General features: G+C 39.0%; 1 long non-coding RNA gene across 1 annotated transcript in view; it reads left to right on the forward strand.

The window, feature by feature from the left end:
* Positions 1 to 14,687: 14,687 nt before the first annotated feature.
* Positions 14,688 to 26,403, forward strand: part of LOC124906300 (uncharacterized) — a 55,680-nt gene continuing 43,964 nt past the window's right edge. The window contains exon 1 of the long non-coding RNA XR_007096148.1: positions 14,688 to 24,631. This is a non-coding gene — a long non-coding RNA (uncharacterized LOC124906300). The remainder of the gene's footprint in view (positions 24,632 to 26,403) is intronic.

Genomic DNA, 26,403 nt, shown 5'->3' on the forward strand with positions numbered 1-26,403 from the left:
AAATAATTCCCTGGGAAAATACATTTAAAAAAAAATTATCCCCAAAAGAGAGGAAAATTTGAACAAATCAATTTTCATATGAGAAATAGAGAACAACCTAAATACTCATCTATTTAAAACTAGTTAAATAAACAATGATGCATGCAAACTATAAAGTATGTACTATGTAGCAAAAATCTCTATGAACTGATATGGAATGTTTCCAAGGATTTTTTTTTTTTTTTTACAGAGTCTTGCTCTGTCCCCCAGGCTGGAGTGCAGTGGCACCATCTTGGCCCATTGCAACCTCTGCCTCTGAGGTTCAAGCAACCCGCCCACCTCAGCCTCCCAAGTAGCTGGGACTACAGGCATGTACTGCTAATCCTGGCTAATTTTTGTATTTTTGTGTGTGTGTGTATATATATATATATAATTTTTTTTTGTTTTTTTTTTTTTGGTAGAGACGGGATTTCACCATATTGCCCAGGCTGGTCTCAAACTTCTGGTCTCAAGCGATCCTCCTACCTTAGCCTCCCAAAGTGCTGGGATTACAGGTGTGAGCCACCACGCCTGGCCTCAAGGAAATTTTGTTAAAAGAAATATGTGAAAGAGTATATATAACATGAACACTTTGTAAGAAAAAGGAGAAAATATGACTCCATATATATTTGCTTGTTCTTAAAAAAGAAATATAGGAAGAATAAGCCAGAAACAAATGAAAAAGCATAAAATGAAGGTGTGCAACTTCTCTGAATTTACCTCTTTAATATAGTTTTTCTTTTGAACCATATAAACGTTTTGCATATTAGATCAACAAAAATTTAAAAGCAAAACCTAATGTAGAACACAAACAGCCACAATTTAAGCTAACTAAAGAAACTCTCAAGTTGGTACCATAACAATTCAGAAATAGAATTAATTCAAGTAACTTTTGAACACAGCACTCCCCTAACAGAACGTATTTTCAGTGCAAAAAGAATTGCAAAAAAATATTGAACTTTCTCTACTAGGTTTTTAAAAAATTATTGTTGTTTTTAATTGATACATAATTGTACATATTTATGGAGTATAGTGTGGTATTTCAATACATGTATACAATGTGTAATGCTCAAATCAGGGTAATTAGCATATCTATCACGACAAACATTTATCATTTCTTTGTGTTGGGAACAATTCAAAATCTGCTCTTCTAGCTTTTTGAAAATATACAATAAATTGTTGTTTATTATAGTCACTCTGTAGGGCTGTGGAACACTGGAACTTATTTCTCCTAACAAGCTGTACTCTTGCATGCGTTAACCAACAGCTGACTATCCCCTTGACCTCTTCCAAACCCTTTCCCAGCCTCTAGTAACCACTATTCTACTATCTACTTCTTTTTTTATTTGTTTGTTTTGAGATGGAGTTTTGCTCTTGTTGCCCAGGCTGGAGTGCAATGGCGTCACCATGGCTCACTGCAACCTCTGCCTCCTGGGTTCAAGCGATTCTCCTCCCTCAGCCTCCTGAGTAGCTGGGATTGCAGGCGCCCGCCAGCATGCCCAGCTAATTTTTGCATTTAGTAGAGGTGGGGTTTCACCATATTGGCAAGGCTGGTCTCGAACTCCTGACTTCATGTGATCCACCCACCTCGGCCTCACAAAGTGCTAGGATAACAGGCGTGAGCCACCACACCTGGTCACGGTATTTATCTTTCTATGCCTAGCTTACTTCACTTATCAGAATGTCCTTCAAGGTCATCCATATTGCCATGAATGACAGAATTTTATTATTTTAAATTGCTAACTAGTATTCCATGATGTATATATACCACATTTCTTTTATCATTCATCTGTTGATGGACATGTAGGTTGATCACATATCTTGGCTATTATGAAAAATGCTTCAATAAACACGAGGGCAGATATCTATTTGACATACTGATTTCCTTTCCTTTGGCTAAATACCCAGTAGTGGGATTGCTGGATCATAGGGTAGTTCTATTTGTAGTTTTTTGAAGAACCTCCATACTTTTCTCCATAATGGTTAAATTTGCCTTCCCACCAACATTGTGTAAAAGCTCCCATTTCTCTCCATCCGTGCCAGCATTTGTTATTTTTTGCCTTTTTGATAGTAGTCATTTTAACTGGAGTGAGGTGATATCTCATTGTGGTTTTGATTTGCATTTCCGTGATGTTTAGTGATTTTTTTTAATAATAATATCAATGAAGAAATTCTGAAGTTATTTTGAATGTATTATAGATAGAGAAAATTGTGGGAAACCAGGGTTCTTTCCTCACTGTAGGAGAAGGGAGTAAGAAAAAAATATATAGCTCAGAGCAGTCTGAGTTATGTGAGGAATACAAAATTTATCAGGCCCAGAGAGACATAAGTATGGCATTTCAGCCATGCTTCCTTCCTACGTTCATGCCTGGGGCAGTTCTTTAAAGGCATTTTGTTTCTAATTTGCTGCTTCACCCACCTGTTATGTTCATATTCCTGGGAGGTGTGATGCAAGGAACAATGATAGTTAATAAATTATGTTATTTTAATGCAAATTCTTGGTTAAAAAAATTAGAAACTGATTCTTCTTTTTTACGTTAAAAACTCATTAGTTACTGCTGCTAATTGGAGTATGTATACAGGGCAACTTAAATCTATGCTCCTGAGTTGCAGTCCTCAAACTTGGCCCAAATAAACTCTCTACTTTGCCTCAGCTTCTTCTTGTAGGTTGACATTGGAATTAGAGGTATCAGTATTAACTCATGATTCTTTAAAATTTTGGATTTCTAGCTTTGTCTCCCAAAAAAAGCATAGAAGCAATAACATTCCAATAGCTAATTTCAAGTCTGGGAAAGGGGAGGTTCACAGTAAGCTGGAAACATCTTACGCACAAAAGTAAGAAAGTGCTCAAAATTGATGGGAACACAAGAGTTGACTTGAAGCTGTTCCCACTGGCTAAATTTGTGACAAGCTGAACATCAAAAAGAATAATAATGGTGATGGATTATATTACCTTGAAATAAGAAAAGAACCCATGAATCCATAGTGACACTCAAAATAAAGGTGGAAGTGGAAGTGAGCTCTCTTCTTTCAAAGACTGCAGCCTACAAAATACAGAAGAAATTATAGAATTAGAAAAATCACCATTTTTCAACCACCATTGGAATAATTCAGGCAAGATCACCTGTAGATGCTAAACTTATTGAGTGAAAGGTTTTTGAGGATTATTGGGCAGTATGATATTCACAGTATTGTATCTCACACACAAATTACTTATTTTTATTTAATTATTTTTTGAGACAGGGTCTCACACTGTCACCCAGGCTAGAGTGCAGTGGCACAATCATGGCTCACCACAGCTGCAACCTCCCAGGCTCAGGTGATCCTCCCACCTCAGCCTCCTGAGTAGCTAGGACTATAGGTGCCTGCCATCATGCCTGGCTAATTTTTGTATTTTTTGTAGAGATGGGGTTTTGCCATATTACTCAGGCTTGTCTTGAACTCCTGTGCTCAAGAAATCCACCCTCCTGGGCCTCCCAAAATGCTGGGATTATAGGTGTGAGCCACCGCGCCTGGCCCACAGATTACTTATTAATTACATAAACCAAATAGTATTATTTGAGGCAGGTCTCAATCAATTTAGAGATTTTGCCAAGGTTAAGGACATGACCAGTGACACAGCCTAAGAAGCTTCTGAGAACATGTGCCCGAGGTGCTTGGGTTACAGTTTGGCTTTACATATTTTAGGGAGACAGAAGTTACAAGCAAAGGCATAAATCAATACATGGAAGGTATATATTTGTTCAGCCTGGAAAGGCAGGACATCTTGAAGCTGAGGGAGGAGTCTTCTAAGTCATAGGTGGATTCAAATATTTTGTTATTGGCAATTGGCTGAAAGAGTTAAGCTCTGCTTGTTGAGTTGAAGTCAGAATAAAGAAATGCTTGAGTTAGATTGGGGAGTTGTGGAAGCCAAGGTTCTTGTATGAAGATGAAGCCTCCAGGCTTCAGAGAAAATAGATTATAAACATCTCTTCTCTGGAGACCTTACTCTCCAGAAAAGACCTAGTAGCAAAGGAAGGAGATTCTCTACAGAATACACATTTTCTTTCTAATGACTTGTGATGTAGAAAAAAGAAAAATGCAAATTTCCCCTACAAGGACCTCTTTGCAAGGCCATGCCACAATATGTCAAAGAAATATATTTAGGGCCAGTTACAGTGACTCTTGCCTGTAATCCTAGCACTTTGGGAGGCTGAGGCAGGAGAATGGCTTGAGGCCAGGAGTTTGAGACCAACCCGAGCAACATAATGAGACCCCTATTTCTACAAAAATTTTTTAAAAATTAATTGAGCATGGTGGCATATGCCGTCCAACTACTCAGGAGGCTGAGGTGGGAGGATCTCTTAAGCCCAGGACTTTGAGGGTTCAGTGTGCTATGATCATGCCACTGCATTTCAGCCTGGGTGACAAGAGCAGGATACTGTCTCTAAAAAATAAATAAATAAATGAAAAATAAAGTAACAAAGGAAGAAAGAAATTAAAACATATATTTAGGGCCTGTTATCTGTCATGTGATGCTATACCAGTATCAAGTTGGAGTTCAGTATCTTATTGCTACAAAGAGTTTGTCTTATTCATCTTATGATCTCTATTTTTGTGTTAATGCTGGTCAGTTGTGCCTAAGCTCCAAGGGGAGCCATGTACTACCCCCCATTCCCATCGTAGGCTGAAATAGTTTTTCAGCTTTCTCTGGGATCCCCTTGGCCAAGAGTGGATCCATTCAGTCAGCTGTCGGGCTTAGAATTTTATTTTCCATGTACAATTACAATATAGTACACACTCACATGCATGTGCATATGCACACATGCACAAAATATGTTGAGATAGTATGCTGATCTTTATGAACATGTAATAGCCCAGAAATGGGAGAAGCGCTTTTTAAAGAGATTTTTCAACCACAAATCTTCACTGAAAGAAGAGACTTCTGTCTATCTTGGATATATGTCTTTTGGGACACTCCTACCTCTAGAGACCAAAAACAATTGTTCCTGAGAGAAAGTGAAGTCACCCGAGTAAAGGTGCTTAGGTTGAGAAGCTAAGCCAAGTGCTTTATTTTGTAATGTAAATCCATGTCTGTCAGCAGCAAAGCCAAGTCCCTGCAGCTTTGTATCTTCCACAGGAGAAAGGATTATTTTCTATATTTGGATTTTTATTGTTTTGGGTTGGTTTTTTATTGCTGGAGATGTGTATATGTTCTTTATGTAGTAAATCACAGAGAATCAGGAGCAGAAGCCCTAAAGCTACTGTAGAGATAGGCATGCCTGATCATCCTATGGGGCTTTAAAAAAGTGACCTGGACTTAGTCCAGTTTAGCACAGCATGGGTTGTGGTTATGCCCACTAAGATTGGATAACTCACAATGTTGTTATTGATTTGGCGGCCGTTATTTGTAATTGTCCTGAGAGGTGGAGCTCAGGGTAACCATAACACTGAGGGTTAGGGTGGTGCATCTTTTAAAAGGAGACATAATTCCACAATCATCCACCTGAGTAGTAGTTATAAATTACTGGTGTGCAAAAATTGAGATGGAGGAAGAGCAGAAACCAGAGGGAAAGGAGACCCTTTTTCTTGTTTAGGTCCTTATTGAGAGTCTGGCAAGAACCTTGAGGCATGAAGATAGATGAGAGTCAAATAGGGAGGCAATCGAGGTTGGTCTCAAATACAGAACTGGGGGTGGTGCATCGGAGCGAAGTCATTTTTTTTTTTTTTTTTTTTTTTTTTGAGACAGAGTTTCGCTCTTGTTGTCCAGGCTGGAGTGCAATGGCGCGATCTCGGCCCCTGGCAACCTCCGCCTCCCGTGTTCAAGCGATTCTCCTGCCTCAGCCTTCCTGAGTAGCTGGGATTACACGCATGCACCACCACGCCCAGCTAATTTTGTATTTTTAGCAGAGGTGGAGTTTCTCCATGTTGGTCAGGCTGGTCTCGAACTCCCGACCTCAGATGATCCGCCTGCCTCGGCCTCCCAAAGTGCTGGGATTACAGGCATGAGCCACCGCACCCGGCCCTGAGCAAAGTCATTTTTAACAGCAATTGGAAGTAACTCATTGTGCTAAGCTTCCTGCCAGCCAGTCTCAGATATGCCTAGGAAATTAAGAAATGGGCCTGCCCGTGCTTGGGGAACAATGGTAAAGGGCAAAACACTGCCTCCCCCTGAGGCCAAAGGGGAGAAAGCAGGTATGTCCCCAGTTATCAAGGATACAAAAATAGTTTCCAAAGGGTAGAGGTCATCAGGCATAAATTCTCTATAAGTCGATTCATTAACAAAGTATGTAGTCAGTCCTCACTTGTCTCCTTATAATTGGTTCACATTATTACCTGTCAATAATTCTGAAATCCCAATGCTTTTGGAAAGTTATTTTTTTCATAAGTTTGCAACTATCTCATTTGGTGGCAAAACTTGACTAGAACTTACTTGATATTTTTTACACTTTTTTTTTTATTATACTTTAAGTTCTGGGGTACATGTGTACAACATGCAGGTTTGTTACATAGGTATACATGTGCCATGTTGGTTAGCTGCACCCATAAACTCATCATTTACATTAGGTATCTCTCCTAATGCTATCCCTCCCCCAGACCCCCACCCCCCAACAGGCCCTGGTGTGTGATGTTCCCCTCCCTGTGTCCATGTGTTCTCATTGTTGAACTCCCACTTGTGAGTGAGAACATGTGGTGTTTGGTTTTCTCTTCTTGTGTTACTTTGCTGAGAATAATGGTTTCCAGTTTCATCCATGTCCCTGCAAAGACATAAACTCATCCTTTTTTATGGCTGCATAGTATTCCATGGTGTATATGTTTTTTATACTCTTATGTCACTTGAATTCTGAATATTTATGTTTTGCTTCAGAAATATCAATGGGTTTGTTAATAAGGTTCTGCCTCAGAGTTCTCTTAGCATGCTACATGGCATGGGCCCCATAGAGCTAAAAAGTTAAAAAAAATCTGAAAACTTCTGAATCCCAAAAGCCTGTCTGGTCCCAAGGGATTTGGACCTGTATTAACCTTTATCCTAGCTGAAGGCCTGCCTAAGGCTCCTTAAGCAAGCCAGGGTCTGTTTTCTTTGATCCTTGGATATAAATGACCCACCCTCATGTTCTAAGATAGAGCTTGCAGACTGGTGTGTACTACTTGGTGGCATACCTTGTCTGGTCCACACTGGTTTAAAAATACATGAATGTGTTAAAAGTCAGGAGATTACATATAAAAGCATAAATTTCTAATGTCTCTTGGAAAATTGGAAAAGCTAGCAATATTGAATCTACATTCTGGCAGAACATATATTTGCTAGAACTGAGCAGCAGCTACTTTTTAAAGATAGGAACATGTCTATAAAATTGTCAGAGGCGTTTGAACCAGAGTGACTTCATCTTGAATAGGGACTGGGTAAAATGAGGCTGAGACCTGCTGGGCTGCTTTTCCAGGGCGTTCATTAGGCATTCTTAGTCACAGGATGTTTACAGTTAAGGGAACAGGTTAATAATGTTTACTGAACAGACCCAGGGCTAAACAGATCCAGGAAATAACAGGCCCAGGAAATGTCCTGATGTCCTGATATCTTAAGAACAAAAGCATTTATAGTTCTAAGAATAAGTTTTGCATTAAAGATAATAATACAGATTTTTACAGAAGACGGTAATTACACAAAGATTAACAATTCTTTGTCACAAGCCCTTGTAGTAGGGCATATTTCTCCCATGATTTTTTGCTTTATTATCTTATATATAAGCAAGCATTGTACCTAAGGTGGACGTGGTTCTTCCTCTCACTTTCAGGAATGCCCTCCTCTGTCTATGGAGTAGCCACACTTTTATTCCTTTACGTTCTTAATAAACTTGCTTTCACTTTACTCTGTGGACTCACCCTGAATTCTTTCTTGCAAGATCCAAGAACTCTCTCTTGGCGTCAGGATCAGGACTTTTCTCTTCCATGGTGAACTGCAAAGGGACCATACTGAAGAGATCCCCGACCCAAGGGAAATAGACTGCAGCACCAATTGGCTGATGTTGGGAAATTGGTGGGGTACATTTTATCTTGGGACAAAGTTGGGTTAAAGGTCCAACTTAGGAGGGTTAAAGCCCCTTGTAAGACAGAGAGGGTTAAAAGGCCCCTCTTGGTAAAGCACAAGGATGCTGGTCTGAACTTGGGTTAGAGGCCTAACTTAGGAAGATTAGAGTCCCTCCTAAGACATGAGGAGTTAGAAGTCCTCCTTGGTAAGGCCCCTCTTGGTTAAGAATGGATTGGCACTATGGGATATTAACTGCCATTCTCTTTGAATTAATCCATCTTGTGTTCTTTGCTGCATGAATCAATTTCCTGATTGCTGTTTGCCTTTACTCCCATTTTCAAGAAAACTCACTTAACTGATCCTGGGGCATTATAACTTTCCCTTCCCCCATGCCTCTGCCCATTTTTGTATGTTTGCTTGTCTGACAGGATTGGGCATTTGCAGGATCACAGGACGTGAGGAGCTTTTTTTACCTCCCCCAAATGGGGAAACTTGAGAGCTGATGGGACTGCTAGAAAAGATCCCATCCATGACTCACAGGTGGCCACCTGAACTTTCGACTCAGTGTCACTAAGATGAGTAGGTCTTTTTCTGGCCTCTCTGAGCTCCATGCTTCCCCCTCCCCACCACAGGCAATGCTTTTCTCCCTTCCCTTTCCTCTGTCTCTTCTTCTTTCCTTTCCCTTTCCTGTCTTCTGCCACTCAGAGCAACTGTCCGATCTTCCATCTTGCTCAGAGACCACGTGTTGAAACTCCTGGTCAGAGGTCATTCCACCCCACTTGGAGTGGATCAAAGGGGACAACAACAGGGGAAAATGGGTCCAAGTTTGAGCCTTATCAGTTTGCTATTGGGCACTGAACAGGGTGGCTAACGCTATGTGTTGTCACATGTATTTTGCTCTGGCTGGAATGGAAAATGTTAATTCGGTTCCCCCATGCAGCCTGTTGGCATCTTGCAAAATTGAGAGGCTTTTGCACATGGTTCCATAAAAAAGATAATTTTTTTTTGTAATACAGTTGGTCTTACAGCTATGACACAGGAAGCAGGGCTATCAAAGCCACTCAGAGAGAGAGAATCCAGAAACCTGGTATACTGGCAAAAGGGTAAGAATTTCTTGCTAGTCAGACTTCTTTTTCTTTTCTTTTCTTTTTTTTTTTTTCTGAGACAGAGTCTCTCTCTGTTACCCAGGCTGGAGTGCAATGGTGGCATCTTGGCTCACTGCAACCTCTGCCTCCCAGATTCAAGCAATTCCCTGCCTCAGCCTCCCGAGTAGCTGGGATTACAGGTGCCCGCCACCACACCTGACTAATTTTTGTATTTTTAGTAGAGATGGGGGTTTCACCGTCTTGGCCAGGCTGGTCTTGAACTCCTGACTTCATGATCCACCCACCTCGGCCTCCCAAAGTGCTGGGATTACAAGCGTGAGTCACTGCACCCAGCAGTCAGACTTCTGACCTCTCTCTCTCTGTGCAAACTGGTTGAATGAATGATAAAAATCACTGTGTGCCTCTCCTGCAAGGTTTTGATTAATGGAAAAAAGGATTTGTGAGGCCCATCTTAGGCTGTAGCAAATCTGGTCTACTTTATATTATGAATTTGTTTCTGTGTTGTTCTGTCATAAAAGGGGGTACCATAGGATAGAATGCAGGCCTAGAACCCCTGTAAGCCCACTGTTCAAACCAGCCTAGCAAACTGGTCCATTGCAAACTTTGTGCAGGTCCCTGAAACAAAAACTAGATGAGGTTTTCCTCTTGTCTTGCTTTATGGTCCTTCAGAACTTGACTTTGTAATCATGTGGGAGGTACTTTCTCTTGGTTTCTGCCATTCAGAGAGTGGAAATTTGGGGGTTCATGTCATAGTCCTAAAAATTATCTTGGGCAGTTATGTCTTTGCAAGCTTGAAACTGGATGCTCTAGACTCTTGAGAAAAGCAGCAGATACTACCCTGATGCTGTAGCTCAGTAGCTAAGGTTTTTGTCTTTTCACAATGGTGGTCCAGGTTTAATTCCCACTTTAGGGAATGAGTCCTTTCTGGTTTGATATTTGTGTGACCTGTGTCATTTATTGACTCCTTCCCCCATCATGAACAATTTCTGACTTCCTGTCTTGAATTTCCCTTTTTCTGAGCTACCTTTGGAGATTCTAGATCTTGTAAAAACTGCTTACCACCTCTCGGAAAATACTTCATACACCCATGATTAAGTCATAACCTTAGTTAAGGCTTGTTGGCTTCATCTGGCAACTTATAAAGTTCAGAAGCCAGAAATATTGGCTGTTTGTCTTGGCTGGAGTCTGGTACTAAGATATTTGGTTAAAAGTCAGCTTAATTAAAAGCAGATATCCAAGCTGCATACATATTCAAATGGCTTTTTTTTTTTCTTCTCTTCTTGGATCTTGTTTTTCTGGAAAAAAGTTTTTTTCTTCTCAGTCAACTGAATTATTTTTCTCCACTTTGTCTTCTTGTCATTCTTGATGCCCATATGAGATAATTCTTATAAAATATCTAATTTTATAAGAATTTATAACAAGAATTTAAAATAAGAATTATTTTATGATAAAATAATTCTTATAATTCTTTTTTGTTTTTTTTTTTTTTGAGATGGAGTGTCACTCTTTTTGCCCAGGCTGGAGTGCAGTGGCACAATCTCGGCTCACTGCAACCTCCACCTCCCACATTCAAGTGATTCTCCTGCCTCAGCCTTCCGAGTAGCTGGGATTACAGGTGCATGCTACCACACCCGGCTAATTTTTGTATTTTTAAAAGAGATGGGGTTTTGCCATGTTGGCCAGGCTGATCTTGAGCTCCTAACCTCAGGTGATCCTCCTGCCTCAGCCTCCCAAAGTACTGGGATTACAGGCATGAGCCACCGCGCCTGGCCTAAAATAATTATTAATACCATGGGACTCTTTGGGAAAAACAGAAGAGTCTCTACAGACCCCATTTTGGGAAAAACCTCTGTTTTCCTCTTGGAATCCCAGACATTGAAAGCATATAGGTCCCTCTCAAAATCTAAGGCTCTCCTCTGTTTTGCATTGCATTACCTGACATTTTTTACTTTTGGGGACATCAGAAATTACTTTGCATTATGAGAGAGTTTTTACCCTTGGTGTGTAATACTTAGGTAGGAAATCAAATTAGTCTGTTTTCATACTGTCATAAAGAACTGCCTGAGACTGGGAATTTGTAAACAAAAGAGGTTTAATTGACTCACAGTTCCACATGGTTGTGGAGGCCTCAGGAAACTTACAATCATGGCAGAAGGGGAAGCAGGCACGACTTACATGGTGGCAGGTAAGAGAGAGATAAGGGGAAACTGCCATTTATAAAACCATCAGATCTCATGAGAATTCACTCACTATCATGAAAACAGCATGGGGGAAATTGCCCTCATGATTCAATCACCTCCCACCAGGTCCATCCCTTGATACCTGAGGATTACAATTTGGATTACAATTCAAGATGAGATTTGGGTGGGGACATAGAGCCAAGCCATATCAGAAATATATTTAGTGATGGCTAATGGCTGTGATGGGGGAATACTCAGCTCTTTACACATGTGGATCAGAGAAGCATACTTTTAGCTATCTGAAAAGAATGAAAACATCTCCCCCCTCTACCCACAGAGGTAAAACTCCCATGGAGGATGGGCTGATTGGCTTTGGGTTGCCCACAAGTTTCAAGCCTTGGGGGTATGTCCTTGCAATGAAATGCATGGTAAAAGTGTTGCACTGTCTTGTGCCATAGAGTTTCCCTCTTTTAAAGGATCCAGGATCCGGCATGCGAATGGGATGCTTAATTTTGGGGGATATATTTTGCTCTCCAGCTCTGCCTGTTTGTTAGGCCCTAGAAACTGCATGCTTTCCTTGCCCTATTTCTCAAAGGGCTCCACCCTGATGCCAGTAATCCAATTAAGAAACTTTAAAACTGGCTAATGGAAAAACCTTACAACTACTGGATCTTCTTCTGTCTATGTGTTAATATGTGTTATGTATGTGAGGTTTATATAAAATAGCTCTGATTAATTTTACTGAAAATAATAAATGCTTAAATCAAATGTTTTTGTCAGAAAAATAGAACTTTAACACTTTTTGGTTCATGTGACTATAGTAATCTTTGGGAAATAAAGACAGTTTTAAAGATTATTGATAAAATAAAAATGTGAAAATTTAGACATCTGGTCTAAATTAAGCAGGTCAGATACTGTGTTCACTAAACTACTTAAACTGCTTTTTTGACTTTTGATAGTTGTGCGACTTACCTGCTTTGGAGCCATTTGGTTCTAGGTAAGGCCTGGAGAAATGTGGAGTTAGCTATGCACCCTGGCTATACTGGAAATAGTTAGACCTTACCTGTACTTCTGTCTGGCATCCTGGACTCCACATCTGGTACATAATTAAAATCACCTACTTACCAGGTTTTTCATCAAAAATAAAAGCTTTTAAGAGTTAACACTATAATACATGTAATTGAGAGTACCGGAGAAACAGTTTTACGTGCAAGGTGTGTAAAGAAAGTAGAATGTGTCTTTGGTAAAAAAAAAATTATAAGAAAGCATAAGAATGTGCATTTTTTTCCTGCCTAGTTTATAGGGTTAAATGATTGTTTTAGGTTAGATAGAATAAAGCTGAAATTTTGAGCAAGTTGTAGAAGGTTCGTGAAAGATTAATCTTGTAAAAGAAATCCCTGGCTGGGCACAGTGGCTCACACCTGTAATCCCAACATTTTGGGAGGCTGAAGTGGGATGATTGCTTGAGCCCTGGAGTTTGAAACCAGCCTGGCAACATAGCAAGACTCTCATCTCTATTAAAAAAAAAAAAAAAAAAAGAGGAAGAAGAAGTAGAAGAAATTCTGTGTGTGAACATATTGCCTAGAGTTTAAGGGATATTCAGTTTTTCTGTAAATTGAATATTGGAATAAAAGCACAACAGGGTTTTCGTTGGAGCATTAATCTGCTCATTAACAAAAAAATTTGAAGGATTATAAAAGGTTTGTGTTTGCTGGGCGCAGTGGCTCACGCCTGTAATCCCAGCACTTTGGGAGGCTGAGGTGGGTGGATCACGAGGTCAGAAGATCGAGACCATCCTGGCTAACACGGTCAAACCCCGTCTCTACTAAAAATACAAAAAATTAGCCAGGTGTGGCGGCACATGCCTGTAGTCCCAGCTACTCGGGAGGCTGAGGCAGGAGAATGGCGTGAACCCAGGAGGTGGAGCTTGCAGTGAGCCGAGGTCGCGCCACTGCACTCCAGCCTGGGTGACAGAGCGAGACTCCGTCTCAAAAAATAAATAAATAAAAATAAAAGGTTTGTGAGAATGTTACCTAATGGTCAAACTATTTAAAATTGAATAGATTTGCCTATAAGGCTTTATTAAGAATTGGGTTTGACATTAATAGTACACTAATGCAAAGGTGAAATTTGGCTTTCTCTCTTGAACAATATTTTCATGTAATGTTGAGAGATAATACAAAATTTGTGTTTGCCTTTTGAATAAACTACAGGAAAATGAAGGGAGAGAAAAGAGACAAATTGTTTGGAAAGCTAAGGCTTCCTTCTATCAATGAGTAAAGGGTTTTGCCTTTGTTTTTGTTTGTTTTTTTTTTTTTTTTTTTTTGAGATGGAGACGCTCTGTCGCCCAGGCTGGAGTGCAGTGGCGCAGTCTCGGCTCACTGCAAGCTCCGCCTCCTGGGTTCACGCCATTCTCCTGCCTCAGCCTCCTGAGTAGCTGGGACTACAGGCTCCTGCCACCACGCCTGGCTGATTTTTTGTATTTTTAGTGGAGACTGGGTTTCACTGTGTTGGCCAAGATGGATTAGATCTCCTGACCTTGTGATCCGCCCGCCTCAGCCTCCCAAACTGCTGGGATTACAGGTGTGAGCCACCGTGCCTGGCCAGGGTTTTGCCTTTAAAAAATCTTTGAGTTATTATTTTGTCTAAATAAATGACTTGAGATTCTATTTTTTAATGTCAAGTGTTTTAAACCTTTGATATTTAACAAACATCCCAAAATCAAATTCTAAATATAGTCATTTTGTGACCTGATTAATCCTTCTAGATATTAGTTCCCAAAAGTCCAAAAATGATGTATTTTGCTTATTTGATATATTAAGGTCACACAGAAAGCATAGTCAAATATAAAATAATATTTGTCTTTCTTTGGGCTGTATTTGTATAAATGTATTATTGGTATGTGTTCCAAAATTATGCAAAACTCCTATAATTCTAATATGATTTAGTGTACATTATCAGTAATAAAATAATAATTGTTATGCTAAATTATTGTGTGCCACAGAAGTAACCAAATTTTTTCATCAATTGTGTCTTTGACTGTGGCTGCCCTAAGACTCTTAGTCATCCGTAGACAATTGTCTTGTTTTAATCCTTTTCAAAAGGCAGTTTATCATCAGCTGTAGGACTCTGATGAGTACTCTTAAATGCAGGTCTCTGATAAGTATGAAAAATGTGCCATTAAAATATAGAGAAAAAAACCTTCCAAGACTCTCTTGGAAAATGAATGTATTCATAAATATCAAGCAAAACAGGAATTAATTGCATAGACTGAACTAATAAAAGACAAAATTATCTTTTTATGACTTTTTGTTTAAAACATTGCTGATTCTGTTTTGTTTTTTAGAGTCAAGAAAATTTTTCTTTTGATCTATTTATAGCTTTTGACAATTGAGTAAAGTATAATCCAATTAAGAGCATATTTCTTTCTCTCTACCCAATTCCTCCAAAATTTATGAGTATTCATTTGTAAACCAAAAAGTATCTGAGGCAAGTCTCAATCAACTTAGAAGTTCATTTTGCCAAGGTTAAGGACATGCCCATGTACGGCCTTTGGTGCTCAAGGTGGTCAGGCTACAACTTGGTTTTATGCATTTTAGGGAAACGTAAGACATCAATCAATACAAGTAAGATGTACATTGGTTTGCTTCAGAAGGGCAGGACAACCAGAAGCAGGAGTTTCCAGGTAATAGGCAGATTTAAATATTTCCGAATTGGCAGTTGGTTGAGTTACTGTCTAAAGACCTGGAATCAATAGAAAGGAATGTCTGAGTTACAATAAGGGGTTGTGGAGACAAAGGTTTTATCATGTGGACGAAACCTCCAGGTAGCATGCTTCAGAGAGAATAGATTGTAAATGTTTCCTATTAGACTTAATTAGTCTCTTCTACGAGTCTTAAGGTCTATGTTGATATTAATGATAATGAGGCAAGTCTGACTCCCACTTCCCATCATGGCGTGAACTAGTTTTTCAGGTTAACATTGGAATGCCCTTGGCTGAGAGGAGGGGTCAGTTCAGATGGTTGAGGGACTTATCATTTTATTTTTGGTTTACACTTAACTTATCAAGTGCAATAAGAATCTGTTTTCTTTTATAAGAGGACACAATTGGAGACACTGGTTAGTTTACCAAGGCTTTGACTAGAAGGCCATGCCTTCAAATATGAACAGACTGCTATAAGGATTCAAAGTTGACTTATAGGGCCAATAAAAGACTCTGGGGAAAAACTGGCCTCATATCTTGTCTATACAGTCCCTGTACAGGGTTCCTGACCTGTGGTAAGTAAAGAATGTCACTTTCTTACTGGCCCAGGAGCCCCAAGTTATCTTGGGACCTCAAGAAGAGAGAAATTGACCTAACCCATACGGGTATTTTCAAGCACAAATCCATGGCTAGACTCAAGGTTTTGAAAGGTCTATCTGAGATTTTGTATGAAACAAAGTTTCATCAAAGGCAATTTAAAAAGGAGCCTATATGGCAAATAATTATTCTTGTTGCACTTTATGAAAATAATCAGGTCAAGTATAATATGACTAAAGGTTATTTTGCAAACAAATCAGTCCTACCTTGATTTGTTTTTAATAAAAATGATGACTGGAAAGAGATAAATTATGTTTCAAAAACTGTGGTACACCTGTTGTTAAATTCTAGTCTTGTCCATTGTTTTTGTGTATTTTTCTGAAATGTAGACTGACCCTGCTTATTCCTTTGATCTCTGCCAGCTGCGTAGAAGAAACGAGGGATGGGTAATGTAAAAATCTGTATCAGTATTCTAACTCTGAGCATATATTGAAATTGGCTAGCAACCCCATATCAGCTTGGTGCCCAATTCATGGAAAGCCTTCTCATTTAGTTTACTTGGGATACTTATTTTATTTACTGTTGTTGAGTATATTGCTGTCGTACTCTTTAAGTAAGAATGCAAGATAAGCTTACTCAACATTTTCTATAATTGAACACTTATTGTCTTCCAGATATTTCCTTTTGTCAGGACCCAGAGTTATGAATGGCCATCACTATACTGATGCTTCCTGACTGAGCTCCTTTCTACCCTAAATACAAGAGAACCTAAGAGTTAGGCAGGAATATTATCACCTCTACACAGCCCAAAGAAGCTATAGAAAAATGAATTTTTGTCCTTCTGCAACTCTTAGGATTAAGTATCCCCTTGGAAAAGGGAGGGGAGAATATGTCAGTGGTGTTTAATCCAGAGCAACCCCTTCTTGAATAGGGGATGGGTAAAATACGGCTGAGACCTGCTGGACTGCCTTTCTATGAGGTTAGGCATTCTTAGTCAAAGGATATTTGTGGTTAAGGGAACAGATTAATAATGTTTACTGAACAGACCCAGGACTTAACAGACCCAGGAAATGTCCTGATGTTACAATATCTTAAGAACAAAAGCATTCTTAGTTTAAGAATAAGTTTTGCTTTAAAATAATAATATACATTCTTGTGGAAGACAGTAGTTACACAAAGATTAACCATTCTTTGTCACAAGCCCTTGTAGTAGAGTATATCTCATCATTTTTTGTTTTATTATCTTGTAAACAAGCATTGTACCTAAAGTGGACATGTTCTTCCTCTTGCTTTCAGGACTGCCCCGCTCTATCTATGGAGTAGCTATACTTCTATTCCTTTACTTTCTTAATAAACTTGCTTATACTTTACTCTGTGGACTCACCCTGAATTCTTTCTTGCGTGAGAGCCAAGAACCTTCTTTCGGGGTCTGGATCAGGACCCCTTTCTGGAAACAAAATGAGTAGTACTTTTTTTTTTTTTACAGCTTTATTGAAGTATAATTGATATAAAATAAAAAACTGTGCATGTTTAGTATGTACAATTTGGTGAGTCTGACATTTGCATGTGCATGTGGTTTTGGAGAGGGATGAAAATGGGTGGTAGGGCAAAGGTTTCTATTCACCCAGCTCACTTTATTTATTTTTCTTACCCTCCTAGATACTGTAGATATTTCAGTTTGTGGTCCCTGCTGTTGAGCAATCTGAGCTCTGTGAGATATGCAGATAATGTCTCCAGAGAGCCATTAGCATGGGTCTTCAGCCATGCCTCCCCATCCATGCCACGAGGGAATTGTTTAAAGTCATTTTGTTCCTGATTAGCTGCCTCACTCATTATCTTCCTGTTCCTGGAATTTGTGGCACAAAGAACAATGTATAGCCAATCAGTAGCTAATACTATTTTAATGTAAATTCTTAATAAACAACTTAGGAACTGCCTCTTCTTTTTCTTTAAAAACCTACTTTTTATCTGTTGCTACTCTGAGTGTATATTCAGGGCAACTTGAATCTATGTTGCTAGTTGCAATCCTCAAGCTTGTCCAAAATAAACTCTCTATATTAGTTTGGTCTCAGCTTCTTCCTCTTAGATGGACACTGTACACCCAAGTCAAATCCATTTTCCTCAAAGTCCCTTGGAACCCTACTTGGGTTACCATCCTAGCTGTAGCTCTGACCCAGCAATTCCCTTAAATTAACCTTGGCACTGGCACAGTGCTCAGGACCTTTTCCATAAGGGGCTTGCTCCTCTGACTCACCCCTCCTCATCAATTCTTTTCTCCAGGGAAATCTTCCTAAGAACTGGCTGCATTATAGAACCAGACTGGAATCCACTCATCTGGCACAGTAAAACCAGATATCTACACCAAGGTTTTTGCAGCAGTAGAAAGGCATTTATTTGCAGGGTGCCAAGCAAGGAGGACCAGGAAGCTAAATGCTCAAATCCTGACCTCCTTGATGACTTGCAAGCAAGAGTTTTTAAAGGTAGGAGTAAATCTCAGGATATCAGAAGCTACATGCAAAATTATACATCAATACAAGAAGGTTTTAGCTTTATAAGGGTAGAATATCTTGGAGTGGGGGCCTGGAGGGTGACTTATAGGTCATAGGTAGATTCAAAGATTTTCTGATTTGTAATTGGTTAAGGAAGTGAAGCTTTGTTTAAAAATCTGGAGTCAGGGCCGGGCACAGTGGCTCACACCTGTAATCCCAGCAATTTGGGAGGCTGAGGCAGGCAGATCATGAGGTCATAAAATCGAGACCATCCTGGCCAACATGGTGAAACCCCATCTCTACTAAAATACATTAAAAAATTTAGCTGGGTGTGATGGCGCACACCTGTAGTCCCAGCTACTTGGGAGGCTGAGGCAGGGGAATAGCTTGAAACTGGGAGGCCGAGGTTGCAGTGAGTGATATCATGCCACTGCACTACAGCCTGGCAACAGAGCGAGACTCTGTCTCAAAAAAAAAAAGAAAATTGGAGTCAGTAGGAAAAAGTGTTAATTTTCTGGGAGAGGGGGGTGACTTTCCCAAAGCCCCTTGAGAAGAAATTTAGAACAAAAAATTATGGTCAAAGTTCAGTCTTCAATTCTCCCTTATCTGAAGTCTGCGTGCCAGAGGATCCATTCAGTGGGGGTCCTCAGTGGGTATCTGACTTTCTAAAAGACAACTCAGACACAAATGTTAAGATGTTATCCTTAGTTTCTATAGGGAAAGGGAACATCTCAGGAACTCTAACTTTCTTGGCTATTGTTTTAAGCTACTATGACCTTCTTGTTTAACAAGTTATGTATTTACTTCTGAGGCTAGCTGCATGCCTGGAATTTCTCTCGAAGGAACTCAGAATATTCCTTTATTTCCATGCTTGGAAGTCTGCAGGCTCCTAAAAGGGGACCCCTGCTCCACCTCAGCTTCTCTTTGCAATAAGTCCCTTTCTTTTTACCTGCCCCGTAGCTTTTCAGCCTATGCCAGCTGGTGCTGTTCATTCTGTTGCTCCACGCCCCTGAATGACGTCTTCTTCTTTGCATTTCCAAAGTCTGCCTGGTCACCTGTAGTTTATTTTACTAAAGAACTGGTACTTGTTGGTCTTGGTTGGGGGCCCTTACTAGAAGAAAGCATTCAACTACTTATTTGATGCCTGAGGAATCTTTCTGACTATGTAACTACATAAAATATGTACTCTAGAGCCAGCCTCTCCTGGGTACTGGCATAGTAGGAGTACCCAACTTTACACCTTGAGATCAAACTCTGGGGAGGCAAGTGCTCTGGAGAGCAACATATGGAAATAGAAATAATTTATTCCATCAATGCTTTCTACCCTCTCTGCCAGGCAGTCTATTCCTGTTCTTGAGGTTAGAGAGTGGCATCCCATGGGACAGGCCTCATTTCTTATGGCTAAGAGCAAGAACATGGAGCCTGGATTAGAACTCTCATTGAATGGAGAATTAACCACGTACTAGTGTGTAACCTTGAGCCATCATACCTTTCTTTGTCTCTACATCTTCATCTGAAAAACGGGGCAATTCACCTGAAAAATGGAGTAATCATAGTGCCTGTATTAGTCTATTCTCGCATTGCTATAAAGACTAGGTAATTTAGAAAGAAAAGAAGTTTAATCAGCCCACAATTCTGCAGCCTGTACAGGCTTCTGCTTCTGGGAAGGCCTCAGGAAACTTATAATCATGGCAGAGGGTGAAAGGGAGGCAGGCATAGTCTTCACATGGACAGAGCAGGGGGAAGAGAGAGAAAATGTGGAGATGCTACACACTTTCAAACAACCAGATCTCGTGAGAACTCAATCATGAGAACAGCATGGGAGAAGTCCACCTCCATGATTCAGTCACCTCACACTAGGACCCTCCTCCAACACTGGGAATTACAATTTGACATCAGATTTGGGTGTGGACACAGAGCCAAACCATATCAGTGCCTTTTTCATAGATATGTCAGGATTAAATATAAAGCTCTTAGCACAGAGGCTGACACATATTAAGTATCAAAAAGTGTGAAAAATAGCACTTGTTTTTTCCCCAAGAGCCTCTAAGCCTATCACTGAAAAATTATATTCTATCTCAGGAGTCTGTGAAAAACAAAATATCGTTCTCAAAAAATTGCTTGTGAAGAAGACTCTCCACTTAAAACTGTGGCCCTATGCTGTCCTGCTTTCCACTAACAACCTGAGTACATACTTCCAGCTATATCTAGCCAAAAATCAATTAGAACTAGTGCTAGAGCTCCATTAAACCTACAATATGCAATTCCAATCTAAAGGCCACTGCTTTGTTTTACTTCCACATGTAAGGTACAGATATTCTTAAGAACCTTCTTTCAATGAAAGAATAAGATTTCAGTGACCATGACATTTTCATTCCTTTAAAAAAAAGCTTGGCACAACAAATAAGAATATTTTATTGAACCTAATGATAATTTTTCTGAATTTGTATTTATTTATTTGCAATTACACATGTAATACTTCTTTTTTTTCCCTTTTTTAGAGACAGGGGCTTGCTATGTTACTCAGGTTGGTCTTGAACTCCTGACCTCAAGCAATCCTCCTGCCTTGGCCTCCCAAAGTGCTGGCAGTAGAGGCATGAGCAACCATGCCCAGCCCACATATAATACTTTAATACATTCTGCTAAAACAATTCAAACAATGTAAATAAAATGAAAATGGTGTTAACCAAAAAAGTGACTGAGGAAGAAGTCTCAATCAATAGAGGTTTATTGACCCCAAAGTTTGAGGATGTGCCCAGGAAAAACACAGTCACAGAGGCATCTGTGACCTATGCTTTCCAAAGAGGGTTTTGGGAACTCAGTATTTAAAGGAGAAAGAGAAAGAAGGAAGAAAATGTTGGGGGTAAACAGTGAGGCAGATGGTTACATTCCTGGAGGCTCTAATTACTGCTCTATAAGTCTACATCTTACACAAGGCAAGGTAAACATGTGAAAAGAGGAGAGGAAAAAGTCAATTATCTCATCTCAGGGCAAGAGAGGAATACTTTCTTGTCTTGTCCTTGTGCTGTATCTGTGAAGATAAGCCTGTAATCGACATTGTCAGTGAGAAATTTAACACAACTTGGCTGGGCACGGTGGCTTCAAGCTACTCTTTCTCAAGTGGAGCTAATAGTTACCTCAAATGGCTAATCTTTCTCAAGTGAAGCTTGAGAAAGTATTTGCTTTCCAAATTACATACTTCACCTAGTCTGTTTTGCTTACATTAAATTTAGTAGCTAACCTCTTTGTGTTCACTCACAAAATACTTTGAACTTCACGTGACATATGACTATCATATCTTCAGTCTACTGGAGAGTCTAAATTTGCATCTGAAAAAGTAGCAAAATAGCTCTAAGCAAACATTTCTTCCTTAAAACTCAAGATTCCGTTTTATTTTGTTTTTGTTACATCTCACCTTCTAGACAGCAATTTTATGCCTCACAGTCTTGATTTCATCAAGACATATTGTTGGAGATGGAGTGGAAAGTACTCCTATTTGTTACTCATTCTTCTAGTCTTGAACTAGTTTTTCTTACTTCTGACTCTTTATAGGCAGATATCATGTGTACAATATAGTAATGAAAATAGAAATCTGGATTTCAACCTGCTTTGTCTCTTTGACTCCCTCTTTTCTAGGAACTGATCCTTTTCTCCACTTGTCCTCTTTCCTGTGTCTTACTCTACAATGGACTGAGTGTTCATGTCCCCCAACCCTTTAAATTCATATGTTGAAATCCTAACCCCTAATGTGATGGTGTTAGGAGGTGGGCCCTTTGAAAGGTAATAAGGTCATGAGAGTCGAGTCCTCATAAGTGAGATTAGTGCCCTTATAAAAAAAAAACCCAGAGAGCTCTCTTACCCTCTTTCCACCATGAAGTAACCAGTCTACAAACTGGAAGAGGACCCTCACCAGGATCTGACCATGGTGGCACCCTGATATCAAACTTCCAGCCTCCACAACTGTGAAAATAAATTTTTGTTGTTTATAATCCACTCAGTCTATGGTGCTTTGTTATGGTAGCCCAAACTAAGGTATTCCCTTATGCTTGACCTCATGACATGACTTTATCACAGTGGAAATACCCCTGATTTAACCAGTTTACCCTACTTCTTGGCCACAGTGATACGCTCAGGGAACCTGAATCAAAGGCAGGACAACTAGCATCCCTCTGCAGACAGTTGGAATTTAGACCAAGAAATTCTAGGCTTATTCTTTCTGGTTTTGAAACAGAGGAGATAGAAACTCAGAAGATACAGTAAATATTTTCCAGCTTGTGAAAAGTAGGCCAACACTACTTTTGGGTTGACAGGAGAAAAAAGTCAATTCAGAGAGAGGAACAGAATTGAAAGCTGGGGCAGAAAGACTTCCTTGCCTAGCTGTACCCTGCTCTTGGACCATTTGAATCACCTCTGTTTCCTTATGATTACTTATCTTTTTTGTTTGTTTGCTTGTTTTAGCTAGTTAGAGATAGTTTCTATTACTCATAACACCATAAAAATGTTAACTAATATGATATTTTCAGCAATAAATTTTGGGGTGAATTTCTCCTTCTTTAATTGTTTTGTTAGGCATTTGTTATAATGGTCAAGAAAGGAATTTCCTCAGGGAATTTTTCTTCTGTTTTTTTTTTCACCCCATGTATAAATTTTAAGTACATGTCTCTTTATTTCTCACTAGAGTCAGTATTATGTATCTTTTTGTAAATGAAATACAAGGGATTTGCAGCAAAATATGAAAAGCCTGGAATGATCTAGTATAGTATCTAAATAAAAGTTTCTTTCAAGACAAAACTCCTCAAAGAGGACAAACTTGTGGGGATAGAATTCAAATTTAAGAGGGCACAGATCATAAAGCCAATGAAAAAGAATACCTAGATTAAATGTGGGGTGGAGGTAGGAAGGGACAGTCAGAATATTTCAGAATGTAAGCTACCATAATCTTGAAAGCTTTGAAAAACATCCAAAAAAGAGAGCTCTAAAATGATAAGGTTTGAATAGAAAGTTATCCAAGTTTGGGTAGAAAGTTATCCAAGTTTGGGTAGAAAGTTAAATGATAAAATATTATCCAAAACTACATCTCCTTTCTAAAAGCTCAGGAAAACTGTGACATAAACATTGAGCTACAGAAAAGATAGAGATCAAATTCCATTAAAGTATAAGGAAAGAGAGAATAATATTCCTACAGATAATAAAACATGCCAAAAACATTCTCATACAGCAGATGAAAACTATAGTCTAATATTTCAAAACTAGCTAGGAGACACAAAAAATGAGATAAGAAATAAAAGAACAAATCAGAATTTGAGATGATAGAACTAAGAAGATAATTTTAAAAATTATTAAGAAACAGAACAAATAAAAGTAAAACTAGAAAAAATACAAGATAATATCTCAAGAGAAATATAAGTAAAAAAAATTTTAAGAATTTAAAAGAAAAAAGAGAGAGATAAAAAGGATTAAAGAAAAGACACACAAGGAAGATCCCACATACATACAATAGGCATATCTAGGGAAAATTTTAGCAATAAAATACTGAAATCTATCATTTGAGAAGCCAAAATAAAATGAGAATTGAAACTAAATATTGAGAGGACACTCAGTTTATCTGATAAAATTGGCTTGGAATGATCATCACTGAGATTTAGTCTAGCGAAATTATTGTACTTTAAAGGAAATAAAATAAAAATTATTTAGAAAATCCAGGGAAAAAATATGAAATTATTCATACAGGAAAGAAAGTCATATTATCTTCAAACTTCAATCTCAAAATTTTATGCTTGAAGAAAATTCAGTAACATAGTGCAAAGAAAGAAAATATGAAGCAATGATTTTATATCTATATAAGCTGTTAGGCAAGAACTGAGGGAATATTATTCTTTATGAATCTACTGGAGAAGGGGATTCAAACAATCAAAATACATGGGGAGGCATTGACAAAATGATTCATGGTGAGCATTGATAATAATTTCTAGCAAAACTAAGACACTAAATGAGAGATATAAAGAAGATAATGTGGTACATAATGGCTGAATACTCTGACAGTGTGGATACGGTACAATTGTAAATATGTGGGGTGAGAATGGAAAGAGCATATGCAAAAGAATTTTTAACTCTTTTCAGTAATTGTATTGATGATAATGTTATTTCAGGGTGTGTCTTTGAGGAGGGTTTTGTAAGAGAGTAGTATTTGAATCAGTAGAATGAGTAAAACAGATCTGCCCTCACCAATGTGGGCTAGCATTATCCAATTAGGCATAGGAAGAGTGAATTTGCTCTCTATTCTTGAGCTAGGATATTTACCTTCTCTTGCCCTCAGACAGTGGAGCTCCTGGCACTGGGGTCTTTGGACTCCAGGAGTTACATCAGCACCTCCTGACCCCCGAGTCTTTGGGCCTTTGGCCTTGGACTGAGAGTATGCCATTGACGCCCCTGCTTCTTATGTCTTCAGATGCGGACTGAATTACACCGCTGGCTTTCCTTGTTCTCCAGCTTGCAGGCAGCATACTGTGGGACTTCTGGGCCTCCATAATTGTGTGAGTCAATTCCCATAATAAATCTTCCTTATCTATCTGTGCATATTCTTTTGCCTGTTTTCCTAGAGAACCTTAATATAGTCATCACGGAAGAAGCCAGAAACCAACTTTTTATTTGAGAACTGTCAAATGAAAGAAAACAATCAAGCATTTGTCCTGCCGTTTCTATGTAAACTGTGCCACCAAGATACCAAATAGTAGGTGAGGTAAAGTTTCTCTTGATGTAAGTAGTCCATCAAATTACTGAAGAAGAAAATTTGAATATCAACATCTTTTGCAATCCTAGTGAATTACTGGATCTAAACATTGAGAATCAATGGCAGATAGCATTACAAAAGGGCAAAAGAAACCAGGCTGGGCTTGGTGGCTCACGACTATAATCCCAGCACTTTAGGAGGCAGAAGTGGGAGCAGAGGATGACTTGAGCCCAGGAGTTCAAGATCAGCCTGGGCAACTAAGCAAGACACTGTCTCTTTAAAAAAAAATTTACCTGGAAAAACATAAACCCACCTATGAAGTAGTATTGGCAAAAATCATCATCATCATCATCATTATTATCATCCCTAAATGTGATTCAGCCTGGAGATCCAGAAGAGTGCTTTATGTTGCAGCATGCAATCCAAATTACTGAGCACTCTCTTTTGGTGTTGAAAAAGCCAACTGCTTCTATATCTCAGAGTGAAGCAATTTTAAGTATTTGGTGACTGTGAAGCAGTAGCCTTGTTGAAGAATGTGCCCCAACTCTTTTTTTTAGTATATTCTCTTAAGAGTATTTAACTAGAAAATGGGAACAAACTCACCAGCAAAGATTAGATTAAGGGTGTTATCTTCTAAATGGTCTGAAGGTAGCTATAGGCAAGAGGGATGTAGAATGGAGAGACCAGTATGTAAATGATAAGCATATATGTTAAAAATTGTGTCCTCTGGCCAGGCTCAGTGGCTCATGCCTTTAACCCTAGCACTTTGGGAGGATCGCTTGAGGCCAGGAGTGCAAGACCAGCCTGGTCAACATAGTGAGACCCCATCTCTATTTTTAAAAAAATGAAAAAGAATCTCTCTATACATAAAATTGTGTCCTCTACTCTTCAGCCCCAGAATCTTAACAAAAAATTATGTATGGATTGAGTGAGCTCTGTGTTCAGAGGTGCTAGAGGATGCAGCCCCTCCCCTAACTTCCAAGCATCTCCCCCTACCTGCCCTGCATGTTTCTGCCCTAGTGATTCATTCTGGAAACTGCATCCTCTCCAAAGCCATGGAAGGTGTGCCTTCCTCACACTGTGTCCCTAAATAATTTTTTCTTTTAAATAAAGGAAAGAAACATTTTTTAAAAATGTCTAGATAAAGACTTTGGTTATGGTTTTTACAGTAGACCAGAAATTTTTGGACAGATACCATACCAAACATTTCTACATTCTGTAAAGCAGCAGTTTATGAACTTCAACCCTTAAAATAATCCCAGGCTCCAAATCTGCACCAGCAAGAAGTCAGTTGCAAGAGTTGTGCACCCTAAGGAAGGGCATACTCCCAAATTACACCTCAAATGTAATATTGGAAGACAACAGACCCGGCAAATCCTTTTGGCCTGATTTATGAATTTTTAAAATTCAGATATTTGATTTATCTTAAATTTGTTTTGGCAAAGGGAATGAGGTTGTTTCAACTCCATCTATTGATTATTTTCTCCCTAATTTTTGAAATACAAGCTTTATAATATATTAAAATCTCATATGATTTGGGTCTATTTCTGGACTTCATTCTTTCATTGATCTATT

This window comes from Homo sapiens, chromosome 3, assembly GCF_000001405.40.
Source record: "Homo sapiens chromosome 3, GRCh38.p14 Primary Assembly".
NCBI classification, from domain to species: domain Eukaryota; kingdom Metazoa; phylum Chordata; class Mammalia; order Primates; family Hominidae; genus Homo; species Homo sapiens.